The 16,205-nt window shown below is 50.5% G+C and overlaps 1 protein-coding gene and 1 long non-coding RNA gene across 2 annotated transcripts in view, besides 3 other annotated features; both read right to left on the reverse strand.

Moving 5' to 3' along the window:
• The window catches only part of SLIT1 (slit guidance ligand 1), a 187,922-nt gene that overhangs the window by 161,983 nt on the left and 9,734 nt on the right, over positions 1-16,205 (reverse strand). The window contains exons 2-3 of the mRNA NM_003061.3: positions 4,799-4,870; positions 3,360-3,431 (exon numbers count right to left, since the gene is read on the reverse strand). Coding sequence (NP_003052.2) covers positions 3,360-3,431; positions 4,799-4,870 — 144 coding nt within the window. The remainder of the gene's footprint in view (positions 1-3,359; positions 3,432-4,798; positions 4,871-16,205) is intronic.
• ARHGAP19-SLIT1 (ARHGAP19-SLIT1 readthrough (NMD candidate)) overlaps positions 1-16,205 on the reverse strand; it is a 139,632-nt gene that overhangs the window by 6,979 nt on the left and 116,448 nt on the right. Inside the window, exons 12-13 of the long non-coding RNA NR_037909.1 lie at positions 4,799-4,870; positions 3,360-3,431 (exon numbers count right to left, since the gene is read on the reverse strand). This is a non-coding gene — a long non-coding RNA (ARHGAP19-SLIT1 readthrough (NMD candidate)). The remainder of the gene's footprint in view (positions 1-3,359; positions 3,432-4,798; positions 4,871-16,205) is intronic.
• Positions 2,999-3,533: an enhancer, noted in NCBI's record as "H3K27ac-H3K4me1 hESC enhancer chr10:98922776-98923310 (GRCh37/hg19 assembly coordinates)". NCBI's record gives its function as "activates a minimal SCP1, AML or CMV promoter by ChIP-STARR-seq in naive H9 embryonic stem cells {active_cell/tissue: H9 hESC(naive)}" and the evidence as "EXISTENCE:reporter gene assay evidence [ECO:0000049][PMID:30033119]".
• Positions 3,534-4,067: an enhancer, noted in NCBI's record as "H3K27ac-H3K4me1 hESC enhancer chr10:98923311-98923844 (GRCh37/hg19 assembly coordinates)". NCBI's record gives its function as "activates a minimal SCP1, AML or CMV promoter by ChIP-STARR-seq in naive and primed H9 embryonic stem cells {active_cell/tissue: H9 hESC(naive and primed)}" and the evidence as "EXISTENCE:reporter gene assay evidence [ECO:0000049][PMID:30033119]".
• Positions 4,068-4,601: an enhancer, noted in NCBI's record as "H3K4me1 hESC enhancer chr10:98923845-98924378 (GRCh37/hg19 assembly coordinates)". NCBI's record gives its function as "activates a minimal SCP1, AML or CMV promoter by ChIP-STARR-seq in naive H9 embryonic stem cells {active_cell/tissue: H9 hESC(naive)}" and the evidence as "EXISTENCE:reporter gene assay evidence [ECO:0000049][PMID:30033119]".

Genomic DNA, 16,205 nt, shown 5'->3' on the forward strand with positions numbered 1-16,205 from the left:
GCTTGCCTTTCTCTACTCCCCATCCTGGCTGCTCCCATGGTATGATCCTGGCCACGGTACAGTGCCAGGCCAGCTCCCAGGGTGACTGGGCACACTCCACTCCTCTCCACCTGCAGACCCGCTGAGGCCACAATGTCCTGATCCCTCTTGGCCAGCTCAACTGCACACTGCTGCATCTACTCTGGAGTTTATAACTGCTCACAAGAACCAGTTATGTCTACTCCCAAACCTGTTTATGCCAGAGGCACTTGCCATTCTAACTCTATAATTTAATTACCTATTACATAAATGAATGAAATGCTAGTGGAAAAAGAGTCATCTCTATGAAAACTAAGTGGAATGCTTTAGAAAGATTCGATGAAAGGAAAGCTGCTAATTAAAGGGCTGTTGAATTAAGTAAAAGACGGTGGCAGACAGGGGTGGGTGTCATTTTAAAAATCAGGAATACTCCCCCAGATTGCTCCCAAGGCCCTTTGGAAAATCTCACTCCATCTTCCAGAAACCAAACCCAAAAATCATCAACAAGGTATACGTGTGTGGTTTAGGCGAGGCAAACAACACAGAAAGAACACCAGCGTTTCACACCAAAGAGAAAGACTTTGGCCAAAAAAAAGAGGAGGGGTCAGTAAATGCACATTTATATGTTTTAACATAAAATGAAATGTCTAAGGTATGTGTGGGGTTTTGTTGTTGTTATTGTTGTTGTTTTGCTGTTTTTGAGACAGAGACTTGCTCTGTCGCCCAGGCTGGACTGCAGCGGCATGATCTCGGCTCACCGCAACCTCCGCCTCCCGGGTTCAAGTGATTCTCCTGCCTGAGCCTCTGGAGTAGCTGGGATTACAGGCACGTACCACTGTGCCTGGCTAATTTTCATATTTTTAGTAGAGGCAGGGTTTCACCATGTTGGCCAGGCTGGTCTCGAACTCCTGACCTCAAGTGATCCACCCCCACCACCTGGCCTCCCAAAGTGCTGGGATTACAGGCATGAGCCACCGTGCCTGGCTGGTATGTGTGGTTTTTAATGACTCTGCACTTTAATCACCTTTTACGATCAACTGATGCGCCACTGGTCTCCAACAACTCAGGCGGCGACCATTGAACTGACCACTCAGGAAGGTGCCTGCAGGCCTAAAGTCGCCACTCACCCAGTGGGGTCATGTCTCGACCCCCCAGACCCTTTCCCTCCTCCCCTCCTTCCCAGCACAAGAGGTGGAGCCAGGTTGGGTCAGGTTCAAATCAGCCCCTCATAGCCAGGTCATTAACATGTATTTTATTCTAAGTCTTTTAAAGAAAACAAATGCAGCATTCGACATCTGGTCTAGCTGTGGGCTCCTTATCATTTCGTTTTAGGCCTGGATGAGGAGCACAAAAGAAAGATTGCCTTGCTTTCTTCCAGGCTGTAGGAGGGCAACGAGGCAATCGGATTCTTTTCCTTTTATTTAATATCCTATTTTCTTTAATATAAAAATGAAAGAGCCAGGCATGGTGGCTCAGGCCTGTAATCCCAGCACTTTGGGAGGCCAAGGCGGGCGGATCACCTGAGGTCAGGAGTTCAAGACCAGCCTGCCCAACATGGTGAAACCCAGTCTCTACTAAAAATACAAAAAATTAGCTGGGCGTGGTGGCTGGCGCCTGTAATCCCAGCTACTCAGGAGGCTGAGGTAGGAGAATCGCTTGAACCCAAGAGGCGGAGATTGCAGTGAGCCGAGATTGCGCCATTGCACTCCAGCCTGGGCAACAAGAGTGAAACTCCGTCTCAAAAAAAGAAAGGTGAGGTATCAAGTCATCTTCATTAAGAGCTCAGACTTTGAAGGCAAAATGATCTGGGTTCTAATCCCCTCTTCTGTACAACTGGGGACAAGTGACTTAATCTCTGTGTACCTCTCTTTCTCATCTGTGAAATACTACTTAGAGCAGTGTTGTTTTAAGGATTAAATGAGATAATATAAGGCAAAGAGCTTCCCCAGGTGCCTGGCATAGAGTGGTGGTAGCTATAATCATAATAATAAACTTGTCATAAGAAAATCCATTAAAAGAGAAAAACACAAAGAATAAAAATAAAGTTATCTATAATCCACCACTCACTATAATGAGAGTTAGTGGTTCCAGTTGTCTTCTTCCTCCTGTATTCTATCCACATGCAAATTGTTTTAGTAATACTATTGTCATTTTTTATCTTTTCCATTTAACATTATATTGCGAGCACATTCCCATGTGTTCTTCACTGTTCTTCAGAAATGTGATTTTATTTCTTATGTATCCACTAGAATGGGTTTCCAATTTTTTTCTATTTAAGTAATGTGCAATGGCCAGGCACGGTGGCTCACGCCTGTAATCCTAGCACTTTAGGAGGCCGAGGCAGGTGTGTCACCTGAGGTCAGGGGTTCAAGATCAGCCTGGCCAACATGGTGAAACCCCATCTCCATTAAAAATACAAAAACAATTAGCCAGGCGTGGTGGCATGCACCTGCAATCCCAGCTACTCGGGAGGCTGAGGCGGGGGAATCGCTTGAACCCGGGAGGTGGAGGTTGCAGTGAGCCGAGATCACGCCACTGCACTCCAGCCTGGTAGACACAGCAAGACTTGGTCTCAAAAATAAATAAATAATAAAGTGCAATTAATATCCTGATACATGATTTTTAGCCATGTCTCTGATTATTTCCTTAAAATAAAACGGACTTTCTGGTTCAAAGAGCATGAACATTAGGACTCCTAACACCTACAGCCAAACCACTTTCAGAAGGACGAGATCGGCGACCACCGTGAACATGATGAGTGCCCATCCCCCACCTCACCCCACTATGTTTCTTTTTTTTTCATCGTTGCCAAACTGAAATGTAAAAATTGATCAAGACCCATTTTCAAACTTAAAAGCCCTATTCAGCAACAAACCATGTGAATCAGGACAGGCCTCCACCTTCCCATTTCTGTACTGTGGCCCTGTGCACCTAAGACACCAATCCCCCGGGGCTTCCCTGACAGGTTCCGTTGGCACGGCTTCCTTTAAGGACACACAAATCAATGGACAGCGGTTATGTCAGGATGAGATGACAGGAAGAAATGTCACTTCCTCTGTATTATTATGTAAATTTTTTGCCATCCCGTATCTTCAGGGAAAAACAACAGGGACAGTTGCATGGAGAATGTGGGTTGGGGACCCACTCCAGGTTTCTCTGTGACCATGCCTTGTGACCACTTTCACAGCTGCAGCTGCTCCTGGCTCCATCCGCTGGTGGAGGCAGGCTGGGCATGGGGTCCCCTCCCATGAGTGCCCCTCATCCCTGGCAGCAGCTTGGCCTGCCAGTTCCCTCTCGTGCCAGCCCCCCGCCCTCCTGGCCTGCACCCTGCCAGGACTCACAGCCGCTCCAGCTCCTTCATGTCATCAAAAGCACCACGTTCCACTGCTCCAATCTGGTTCTCCATCAGCTGCCTGGGGAAGCAAAGAGACAAGGACAGCTACAGGGTGTGGGACAAGGGCTGCTAGAAACAGCTGGCACAACGGCGGGGCAGAGGCAACCTCTGCCAGGGCAGCATTAGCAAGGGAGTAAGACAGGAGCCATGCCCAAGCCTCACACAGGCCTATGCCTGGCCTGAGCGGACTCAATTTCCTTACACCTTTGCAAATTTCCCACCATGGGCTCCTCAGGGCTCCCAGCATCTTACCTCACCACAAAATGCACTTGCAACCCCCTGACCCTCTGAAGCTGCCTGCCAGGGCAGAAGGCCACAGGGCACCCAAGCACCATGTCTCCGCTCCAATCAGGCTCCAGGGAGCCAGGCCCAGCAGCAGGCAGCACAGGCTGGCTTGAGCTGCTGGCGCACGTGCCCTGGCCTCTTTGGGCCCTGAAGGCACATGTCCAAGGGACAGAACGGGGGGACCGGCCAGTATCAGGGGGAGGGGAGCCTGTGCCAACTGGGCAGAGCCCACACAGGCAGCAACACACTCTACAATTGGCAGACAACACCCTGTCTCCCTGTACCCCCACCCTGCCTGGCCCCATCTGCTGAAGAAAAGAGTGGGGTGCCCACGCCAACTGAACCACCTGGCTCTGTGGGACTCTGCATCCCCTCACCGCCAACGTGCCCTGAAACCCAGAGCATCCGGCTGGTGGGGCAGCATTTTTCACCAACAGATTGACTGTTGCGTGATAACTTTTGAGATAGTCAAGTGTGTTTTTCCCCCTGCATCTGTCCCTCTCCACCCGCAAGCAGGTGGCTTTCGTGCCCCTGCATGGGCCTCAGATGACGTTGGGGGCAGGGCAGGGGGGGGAACCGCCACCAGATATTTCTCTTTCTCTGCTTTGTTTCCAAAAGCCTGAAGTGTGAGAGGCTCCCGCTGGAGGCCTGGGGGCAGAGGGGAGGGGAATCCTGGGAGAGAGCATGGGCCTCCCCAGACTCAGAAGGGACACACCCAGAGCCTGGGAAGCGGCAGAGGTTGGGGGTTTCTGGAGCAGATCCGTGCCCAGCGGCTTGTCAGCTCTGACCTCAGAGACGATTGGTCACGAGGTCCCTGCTCCTCCAAAGACCCTCAGAACTGCAGAGGTGGGAGTTCTGAAAGAACTGAGGTCCTAAGACCCCTGCACTACCCTGAGAGCACAGGGCGACGGACCTTATGATGAGTTAAGACTCAAGACTCAACATCACCCCACCCGACACCCCTCAGGATGTCTTGCCAAGACTGACTCCGTGGTAGAGGGGCCCAGACAGCCCACCACCCTACCACCCACAGCCAGGGCCCTGCCCAGGACTGCCGTGGCATTGCCAGGGGTGGGGTGGGAGGGAGCACCCCATACTCACAGCACCCGCAGCTGCTTGAGCCCCGCAAAGTCATTCTTATGGATCCGAGTGATGTTGTTGCCATTGAGTTCCCTGGAGGAAGAAGGAGAGAAGGAAGCAGTGGGGTGAGCAGGGTAAGCCCCCAGGCCAGGGGCCCTGCTCCAGGTGCCCTCCCCGCCTGGATCAGCCAGTCGTCTCATCAGCGGGGCTGGGGGCTTCTGTGAGTTGAGTCTGTGTCAAGACCCAACAAGCTGGGCCCTCTTCGCAGCTGACATCCAACCCACTGGAACCGCAGGGCACAGGGCGCATCACTGGGAGTGCTGTGGAAACCAAAAACGTGGTTTCTGCCCACTGATGCAACTCAGTCAAGTTGGAGAGATGAGACATTCACCCAGGGAAGAATCCGGAAACTAGTCAAGAAGACAGGCTATTCAGGTAGAATCCTCGCTGAGCCTCAATTTCCTTATCTATAAAATGCGGACAACTGTGTCTACCTTATACGGTTAGCACAGGGTAGAAGCAAGTAAACGGCATAGCCTGCGCTTGCAAAGGTCCCCATGGGGACACCAGTGTTATCATCTGGTGGCACTGGCTCCTGCGAGTGCCGTATTCTAAGCAGGAGACAGCAGAGAGGGCCGTACAATTTTAAAGGACTGAGGAAGCGGGACTCAAGCTGAGGCCCAAAGACAAGGAAGAACTGCACACGACGGGGAGGGAGCAGACGTGCCCCAAGGACCACACCACATCAGGCCTAGAGTAGCTGAGGGGTGAAGGGGGCAGCAGACAGCCAGAGAGTCGGAAGCTGTCAGAAGCAGGGCTGAGGGAAGGCAGGCCCAGATCACAGAAGGCCGGAGAGAGCAAGCAGAGGAGAAACCGAGGGCCAGCGGAGGCTCTGGGTCAGGAGGATGGGGGGCCTGACAGGAGGCCAGTCCTGCAGCAGTGAGCAGGAGGGCAGTCCAGGAAGCGAGGCCACCCCACCATCTGGGTCCTGGGGCCAGGCCTACAGCTCCTCCTCTCACCCCATGCTGGGCTGCCTGGCCCCTCCTTCCTTCCAAGGCCACCTTGGACCCACCTGAGGAGCTGTCTGCCCCACCCAGCCTCGCTCAGCCTCACCAAGGCAGACCATTCCAGGAGGGAGGCTCCCCCTACCCCAGAAAGTTCCCCACTGAGCCCCACACAGCAGAATCTCCCTCAGGCCTCACTCCAGCTGTCCCCTCTGCCATCTGTCTCCTTGGGGCAGCTCCCCACTCGCCTGCTCCTCTTCCTCACACTGTTATGCTCACACACTCACGCCCCATGTTCACCTGCAGCCCAGTCTTCTCACTTGGCCAATTTTAGTCAAAAGTTCTGCGTATGGCCAAGAGTTCAACCCAAGTCCAAGCTACTTTGAGAAATAAAGTCCCTGTCCTCCAGGTGTTTAGAAAGTGTTTGGTCCGGCCTGGTGTGGTGGCTCACACCTGTAATCCCAGGACTTTGGGAGGCCGAGGCGGGTGGATCACCTGAGGTCAGGAGTTCGAGACCAGCCTGGCCAACATGTTGAAACCCCGTCTCTACTAAAAATACAAAAAAATTATCGGGCATGGTGGCAGGCACCTGTAATCCCAGCTACTCGGGAGGCTGAGGCAGGAGAACTGCTTGAACCCGGGAGGTGGAGGTTGAAGTGAGCCAGGACCGTGCCATTGCACTCCAGCCTGGGCAACAAGAACAAAACTCTGTCTCCAAAAAAAAAGAAAGAAGGAAGGAAGGAAGGAAGGAAGGAAAGAGAGAGAGAGAGAAAGAAAGAAAGAAAGAAAGAAAGAAAGAAAGAAAGAAAGAAAGAAAGAAAGAGAAAAGAAAAGAAAAGAAAGGAAAGGAAAAGAAAAGAAAAGAGAAAAGAAAAAAGAAAAAAGAAAGAGCGAGCTTGATCTGGGTTGCTGGGATGTTCTAGGGTTGCTTCCACTAAGATCAGCAACACATAGATTCCTTTTCTGCATCATCCAGGAACTGGGCATTATGCACACCCTCACACAACGCAAAAAAGTAGTAACTGTGCTCATCTTATAGATGAGAGTGGCTCTAAGAGGCTAGGTGCCTTCCCAAGGTCACCTGCTGGTAATTGACAGAACAGGAATCTGAACCCGTGGCCATCTGACCCGCGGGCCCAGGCTTTTTCTACCAGGTCAGGCTGTCTCAACATTCAACGCATCCTCCCGCTGTCTGTCCCGTGGGCCTGGCTCCTGATCCTCAGAAGCAGCTGCAAAAACTCATTCCCAGCTCCTCATCGCTTTCCTAACAGGATCTCTCAGAGGGGCCTGAGGCCTTTCCAAGCTAACACAAGCCATTGGTGAGAGTCCCTGACTGAGCTGCCTCCCCACCCTAAATGCTGCAAGGACACCCTCTCCAAATGAGATGGCTCTGCTTAATGTAAAGGTCATTTTTCAATGAACTAAATATTATTTCCCGAAACAGCCACTCTGAGCCTCACTGTGTTGCACCCCAACCTGCTCCCTCTGCACCCCGGCCTTTCTTCAAACACTGAGAATGTCATCATGAAGCCCTTTGAAAGTGGTTCTCTTCCCAAGCAGGGCTGGTTTTCTTTGGGCTGAAATGTTTATTCCCAAACCTAAAACCACAAGGCACTTTTGGTTGTTGTTTTTCTATTATAAAAATATGTCAGCATTGATTATAAGAGGAAAAATCTTTAACAAGTTAAATGGATGTTAGTAGAGTATTGCTTGGTTGAATTCAGCACATCTGCAAAACCGAATACCATGTGGCCATTTAAAATGGTACAGATCTGTTTCTCTTGACAACAAAAGTTGTGCATAACACAGAACGTAGGAAAAGGTCACAAGACAACCCTTTTCTAAGAGCCGGCTTGATATGGTTTGGCTGTGTACCCACCTAAATCTCATCTTGAATTGTAGTTCCCATAATCCCCATGTGTCATGGGAGGGAGCCGGTGGGAGGTAATTGAATCATCTGGGTAGGTCTTTCCCATGCTGTTCTCGTGATAGTGAATAAGTCTCATGAGATCTGATGGTTTTAAAAAGGGCAGTTCTCCTGCACTTCTCCTTGCTCCCGCCATGTGAAGAAGGATGTGTTTGCTTCCCCTTCCGCCATGATTGTAAGTTTCCTGAGGCCTCCCCAGCCCTGTGGAACTGTAAGTCAATTTAACCTCTTTCCTTTATGAATTACCCAGTCTCGGGTATGTCTTCATTAGCAGTGTGAGAACGGACTAATAAACTGCTTATGTAGAAACTCACAAACACACACACATGAATACAGAATGAGCTGGGGGCTGCATGCCACATAACAATGGCTGTCACTGCTAAGTGGTAGGACTCAAGGTGACCTTAGTTTCTTTTTTATACTTTTTTGCAGTGTTTTCATTTTTTAAAAGACATCTATGTTGTTATAAACCAACATAATATCCAACATATAATATCCATAATACCCAACATATAAATAAAAGTTATGGCATTTAAAAATAAGAGTACTATGCACATTACTGAATATTTTTCAATTTCCCAAAAAATAAAGAAAAAAATGAAAGTCATACATAATCCCATCACTAAGAAATAACTCTTATTAATGTTCTGAAATATTTGCCCTCAAACCTGTTTTTGCTGGAAACGATTTTTATATAGTTAATTCAACAAATGTTTACAGAAGACTTACTATGTGCAAAGCATTTTGCAAGGTTCTGAAGATAAGAGGATGAATGAGACACAAATGTTACCCCCTCCTTCCACAACGTCATACACTGTGTGTTCTCCACTTAAGATTATGATTGGCCATAAAGTGTCCCTTCATTTGGGTATATCAAGTTACTGGACCACTCCCTCCCTGATTCCCTGTGACTGGAATCCCTGGGCTGTTTAGATATTGTCCAATTATAAACAATATTGCATAAAGTTTGATGAGCATTTGGGAGGAATACATTCCTGTAAATGGAATTACTTGATCAAAGTCATGAAAAATCTGATGAATTTTACATATCATTCATCACTCATTCCTTTTCATGGCAACTAAAGCAATTGACTATGATAATTATTCCCATTTCACAGATGGCAAAACTGAGGCAAAGACAAACACTGACTTATCTGAACAAGGCAGGATCCAAAATGGAACTCAAAAATCCCTGAGGATGGAATTCCCACTAAGGCGGGACAGAGGTGGAGATGACATTCTGATGACACCCCACATTAGCACACCTCTCTTCTCACCCTTTTGTACCAGCCCCCACAGTGCAGGTGCGGAGGTGCATTCCTTAGTCCCACCCCTCCTCCTCACTTCCTACACCCCACTCCACACAAGACCTAAGACAAGCAGGGAGAAAAAGACAATGGCGCAGACAGCAAGGCAGGCACAGCCTCTCCCCTGGGGGCCCTGCTTCTGGACCAGAATGTCAAAAGAGGCCCAAGCCCACCCCAGCCTGCCGCCATCAGCCTTGCTCTCTAACGCAGAGCTTAATGCCTCCTCTCAGGGGAGAGCCCCTCAGCCCAGCCCGCAGCCTGTGAGCTCTCACTAAGCTCCCGGGTCTGAGGGCTGGCTGCCTAAGGAGGTATCATTGCCACTTAGGCTGAGAAAGTGACCTCCTCTGGGTAGCCCACCCTCTCTCCCACCAGGATCAAGTTCACAACCTAAGCCAGCCACTTCCCCTTAACAGAGGCTGCTAGAATAAGGCAAGGAGGACATTTTTCTGCTGCATCTGATTCCTCCAACAGGAGGTCCTCAATGTTGCCACGGAGCCCCCTCCCCCAGCAAGCTGCCAGGGGAGACTGGAAGATGCTGCTAGGACCTTAAGCCCCAGGGCAGCCAGGGCAGCCGGTGGAGTAGGCCCACCTGGGCAGGTCCCAGCCTCGAGTGTCAGGAAGATCCCAAGGTCCAGAGCCCACCTGGGCTCCCTGAGGTTTTGCCACTGGAGCCCACACCCACCACTTCTTCCTGGGCACCAACTGTGTGCAGGCTCCGGGCCTGACCCTAAGCATGCTTCATCTCATTTCACTCTCATTTCACAACCTATAAGGGGAGTCATATGATCTCCAACTTGCTGAGGAGGAAACTGAGGCACGGATGCATGAAGCAACTTGCATGGTGCCACAAGGCTAATAAGTGGTGGGGCGGGATCAGACCCCAGCCAGTGTGATTCCATGTTCTGTCTCCTACGTCACAAGTCCTCATGTTGCTGGACTCTCCCTTTGTCCCCTCATCCCATGCCCTCACCTCGAGTGGCCATGCCTTGGACATGAAGAACATAACTTGAGGGCTTTGGAGAGGACACGGCTGCACAGGCGCTCTGTAATAAAACCATGTGCTTTGCCTACACAACAATATCGGCGGCTCCCCCGCCAGGCTGAGTTAAGTGTTCTTAGTCACCAAGAGTGTGGGCTCTGGAGCCAGACCATCCGGCTTCAAATTCCTGCTCCACCATTACACTGGCTGTGTGATCTTGGGCATGTAAGTTAGCTTTTCTGTGCCTCAGTTTCTCCATTTATAAAATGAGGATGATGGTAAGACCCACTTCTTGGAAATGTGGTGAGGTTTAAATGTCTTGATATTTCTAAAACACCAAGAATAATGCCCGGCACACAATTCGTGCTCTCTACAGCAGTATTACCTGCTGCAATTATCTTTACTACTGCACTGTTGTGATTTTCCTCTAGGACCATGGCTCTGCCAGGAGGTGGTGTCCTCTGGCTCAGCTCCAGCCGGTGCTGGACTGGCAGGGCCAAGCTGAACTGGGAGGAGTCAGAGACTCACTTCCCTGCAGGACCCAGGAAGCTGAAGACCAGGGAAGACGCCCTAAGCGCGTTCTCCCTCTTCCAAAAGTCATGAGTTTACACCTATCCTTCTCCCCAAGGAGGAAAAATGCTCCAGTGGCAAATGGCCCTGATTTCCCTCCATTCCTGTGTGGTCCTAGCCTGAAAGGAAAACCTCGGTGGCAAAAGATTTTGGAGAAAATCCTCCGAAGCAAAGTTACTAAGGGAAAAACAAAAACACACAAGGATGTCTTGAATCCTCTCAGGAAACAAGAATTTGATCCCCAGTCTCTGGGTGTTTGTGAGGAACCAAAAGAAACCCTGGGATTTCCCGGGGCTGCAAGAATAAACTCCCTGGGCTCCTCTCGGGCTGTTCTGGGGGCTCCTGGCACCAGCTTCACAATTTCTCACCCTGGAGCTCCAGCCACTCCTGTTCCCTCAGGGACTAGAACGTTCCTTCCTCATCACAGCTTGCGGTGGATGGAGAGGCTCACCCTTCCTGCAGGGTCTCAAAAAAATAAAAAAAGAAAAAAGAAACCACGCATGCTGTCACCGAATAAGACAAGCCTACTCGGGAAATGTACACCCAGCTCTTTGCTTTGAAATCTTACCCTGGCCAAGGCTGCGGCGCTGAGAGTGTGCAGAGTCAGACGGGGAAAACGGAGGAAAGAAAGAACTTCTCTCCCCAGCCACTGCGCAGACAGCAGTAAAGGGGCCCACAGAGGCCTAACACCCCAATCTGCAGGGTAGCCCGGGTGCATTTGCCCCATCCCACCTGCCAGCTGCAACACCCGCCCCATGCCTCTATCCTCGAGCCTGAGTCCTGCAGCGCCACCTCACAGGCTCCCCACATTCACCTTGGCCCCTCTCCAATCTGCTCTCCAAGCCACAGCCAGAGTGGTCTTTTCAAGATGCAAATCTGATCATGTTACTCCCCACTTAAAGCCTTCAATGGATTTCCATTGCTCTTGGAATCAAGACAAAAATCTCCTTACTGACCAGGCACAGTGGCTCATGCCTGTAATCCCAGGACTTTGAGAGGCTGAGGCAAGTGGATCACCTGAGGTCAGGAGTTTGAGACCAGCCTGGCCAACATGGCGAAACCTGTCTCTACTAAAAATACAAAAATTAGCCGGGTGTGGTGGCAGGTGCCTGAAATCCCAGCCACTTGGGAGGCTGAGACAGGAAAATCGCTTGAACCCAGGAGCCGGAGGTTGCAGTGAGGTGAGATCGTGCCAGTGCACTCCAGCCTGGGTGACAGGGCAAAACTCCATCTCAAAAAAAAAAAAAATCTCCTTACCATGAACTACAAGTTCCCGAGTGGCCTGCTCTGTGTCCACCAACCCAGCCTGCCCCATGCTCCTTCTGACTTGCTACTCCATCTGCCTGGAATGCTCCTTCCTTCCTCTTTGCCTACGAACTCCAATTGGCAAACCTTCTTATCACAGGCCCACAGAGCGCCCCAACCCTCTCCTCTGTAGCATAAATCAGAGCCAATTTATATTGCTTTTTTTTTTTCGAGCCAGTGTCTTGCTCTGTCACCCAGGCCAGAGTGCAGTGGTGCAATCTCAGCTCACTGCAACCTCCACCTCCCAGGTTCAAGCTATTCTCATGCCTCAGTCTCCCAAGTAGCTGGGATTACAGGCACCCACCACTATACCCAGCTAAATTTTTTTGCATTTTTAGTAGAGGCAGGGTTTCACCATGTTGGCCAGGCTGATCTCCAACTCCTGACCTCAAGTGATCCAACTGCCTCTGTCTCCCAAAGTGCTGGGATTACAAGCATGAGCCACCTCCCCCAGCCAGAGCCAATTTATATTGATTTGGGGGATTCCCTGACTGATGTCCCAGCCTCCACATGAGATTAGAAGCTCCCTGGGGACACAGACCGTGTTTTCTCACTATTGTACCCCCAGGGTGCAACACAGAACATGGCACATGATAGATGTTTCAGTAAGGATTTCTTGAATGCAGGAAAGAATCTGCATTAAAATTGACAGTTTAAATAGCATTAGTTGAGTGGGTTTTCCATGTTTCTTTGTTTCCCTACTCCGAAAATAAAAACACACACACATTAAGAAATGCTCTCCCCAGCCAAGCGTGCTGGCTCACTCCTATAATCCCAGTGCTTTGGGAGGCCAAGTGGGGAGAATTGCTTGAGATCATCCTGGGTGACATAGCAAGACCCTGTCTCAACAAAGAAAATTTTATTTTAATTAACCAGGCGTGGTAATCTCAGCTCCTTGGGAGACTGAGGTGGGGGGATCACTTGAGCCCAGGAGGTTGAGGCTGCAATGAGCTATGATTGCACCACTGTACTACAGCCTGGGCAAGAGAGCAAGACCCTGTTGAAAGAAAAAGAAAAACAGAAAGAAAGAGAGAAAGGAAGGAGGGAGAGAGAGAGAGAGAGAGAGAAGTTTAGAAAGAGAGAGAGAGGAAAAGAAATAAATGTTCTCCCCAAATGGACATCACCCCAAAAAAGCTCCACACGCAGAGGATGCTCCCATGTTACCAACGACCTCCTCTCTTCCAGGTCCTTCCATTCTCATAAGTGAGCCCAATATGAGCAAGGAAATAGCGTCCTTAGGGTCCAAGCTGCTAAGTGAGAAGCTGGGTGATTCCAGACACCCTCAGGAGGAAAGAGGAAAGGATGGGTTGTCTTCCTCCTGCTCAGGGCCGGTCTCAGGCTTCAGGAGAGCCAGGGTAGCCGGTGGAACGGGGCAGGTCCCTTCCATGGGGCAGCACGGGCCTGGCTCCTTCATAAACATGAGCTCCACATGCTTCTCACAACATCTCTTGGAAGTAGGCATCTTTCACATCACCTTACAGATGAGGAAATGGAGCCTACAGGTTGAGTGGCAGAGCTGGGAAGCCAATCCAAGTGGCTCAGTGCTTGGGCCAAATAACTCAGGTCTTGCAGGCACAGGCCTGGGCTGGAATCCCAGCTCCATCCTTTTTTTTTTTTTTTTTTTTTTAACACAGGGTCTCACTCTGTTGCCCAGGCTAGAGTGCAGGGGCATGATCACAGCTCACTGCAGCCTTGACCTCCCAGGCTCAAGTGGGGGTGACGAGGATCTGAGCAAAGCCAGCGTTGGCCTCAAGCAGCGGTGAGGCAGAGGGCCTGAGGCCCCAATGGGTACAGCCTGGGGTTTCCAGGATGTGAGGTTGATGGGGAAGGAGGGGGTCACAGAGGGATCCCTGAGCGCAGCTGCAAGACTTGGCAGGTATCGGAGGACTCTGAAGTCCTGGAGACCTCAGCCCAGAAGGGCAGAGTGAGCACAGAATCTGACCCCAAGGAAAGGGTAGCTGGGGCTCCTGAAGGGCGAAGGCCTCTGGCCAGCCTGCCTTGGCCCAGGGGGTAGAAGAATAATTATTCCTCAGCCCTTTAATAGGAAAATACCAGCCCCTCAGCAGCAGGGCTTCCACTCTGCTCCTCCGTTCCCTTCAATATCAGCGCTTCCTTCTGGCCTGGAGCAGCCTAGAGCTCAGCAAGCTCTTCCCCTGCCCCTAGCACATGCACCAGGCTCCCTGTCTGAACAGGCTTCAGGCCTCCAGTCAAACGCCCTCTTCTAAACCAGCTTCCCCAGGTGCCCACTTATCTCCTCTGGAGCTCGGACTGCCATCGGAGTTGTGGGTCAATAGGAGGTCCTTTGCCTAAGGCCAGTCTCCCAGCTACCTGTGAGGGGAGAGGCCACAGCTGGTTTGCTCACTGCTGTATCCCCGGCACCTGTGAGGATACCTGGCACATAGTAGGTGCTCACTGAATATAGGCTGCCAGAGCAACCCTGCCCACTGAGCCTAGGGGCTGCTGGCATACCATACTCAAGGCCTTGCACGCACTCCCGTCAGCCAGCTGGGCCTTCCCCACATCCTCAGGCCTTAGTAGGTGAGGAGCCAGGGCTCCCAGCATCCCAGTCCTCCAACCCACCAGGCTGAGCCACAGCCAGACACCAACTCCAGCCTGGGACCACCCTCTGACATGTGACCAGTGGGGAAGCCCCAAGGAGGAGGAGGCAGGGACCCCATGCCAGGGCCCATTTGCTGCCGATCCACTCCACCCTTGCGCCTGGGCTCCTGGGGACCCATCTTGTTTCCTTGGCTGGAGAAATAGCAATTGCTACAGTAGTATCCCAACCAAGCCAGCTCATTTAAGCCTCGCAGTAGTACCTGGCTCAGAGGCTCCTTGTCAGTCTTGACTGACAGATGAGGGCACTGAGGCCTAAAGAGTTTAAATGACCTGTTTCAGGTCACCCAGCTGGTTGAGGAGCAGGACTTGAGCTCTGGCACATCTGACCCCAGGACCCAGCTCTTTTTAAAAAAATAATAATAATAATTAGTTGTTAATTGTGGTAAAAATATACATAATATAAAATGTACCATCTTAATCCTTAAGTGGATAGTTCTGTAGTGTACTGTACTACTTTAAAATGTATATATTCAGATTGTTGTGCAAACCAATCTCCAGAACTTTTTCATCTGCAAAGTGCAACTCTATGCTACAGAGTTCCCCCATTCTCCACCAGTCCCTGGCAATTGCTCTTCTACCTTCTGTCTCTGAATGTGACTCCTCTGGGTAACTCAGATAAGTGAGATCATACAGTGTTTGTCATCTTATGACTGGCTTTTTCACCCAGCACAATGTCCTCAAGGGTCATCCATGTTGTAGCATGTGTCAGAATGTCCTTCCTTTTTAAGGCTGAATCATATTCTATTCTATATATATAGATCACATTTTGTTTATCCCTTCATCTGTTGGTGGACATGTGGCTTGCTTCCACATTTTAGCTATTGTAAATAATGCCACTTTGAACATAGGTGTACACATATCTCTTTGAGACCCTGTGTTCAGTTCTTTTGGGTATTTACTTTGAAGTGAAATTGCTGGGTCATATGGTGATTCTACTGTTGATTTTTTGAGGAACCGCCATACTGTTTTCCATAGTAGCTGCACCGTTTCACATCCCCACCAACAGCGTGCACATCCTCGTCAACACTTGATATTTTCTGTTCTTTTGACAGTCGCAATCCGAGTGGGTGTGAGGTAGTCACGGCCCAGCTCTTAATCCCAACTCCATAGGATTCTGTCCTGAGGCCCAAAGTGCACCCCAGTCCCTTCACTTCTGAGGCCCTGCCTTGCTCTTGCCAATCCCCTTCCCAGGTCTGGGACCTACCCCCAAACCACAGCCCTGCAGCCAGGGCCCCACTGACAGCCCCTAGGCCTCCATGCTCTCTATCCATGCAGGCCCCTGGGAGGCCACCCGCCACTGACCTCCGCCTGCACCACCACCTCCCTGAATCTGCCCAACTCTGCTCACCACGCTCCACCCCCAGACCAGACACCTCACTCCCTATACCAGCCTGCAACATGGGTGCACCCAGCAAACATGTGCAGGCAGGAATCAATCATGGCCAATTTGCCTTTACAGCCCCAGTGCTAAACTGGCAGGTGTTTTATAGATGCTGAATGAATATCTGGCAAATAATGAATGAATGAGTGAATGAAGTCAGGCCTCATTAAGACTATAGAGCAGAAGTCAAATTTAAAAACTAAACACAGGCACGTCTCAGAGCCTCAAGACTCAGGGAATCTCAGCTTACCACTTACCAGCCTGCTGTTCAACCCTGGGCAGATGGCTCCATCTCTCTGAACCTTCTCCTCACCTGCAAAGCAGAGGTGAGTAATA

Source organism: Homo sapiens, chromosome 10, assembly GCF_000001405.40.
Source record: "Homo sapiens chromosome 10, GRCh38.p14 Primary Assembly".
NCBI lineage: Eukaryota > Metazoa > Chordata > Mammalia > Primates > Hominidae > Homo > Homo sapiens.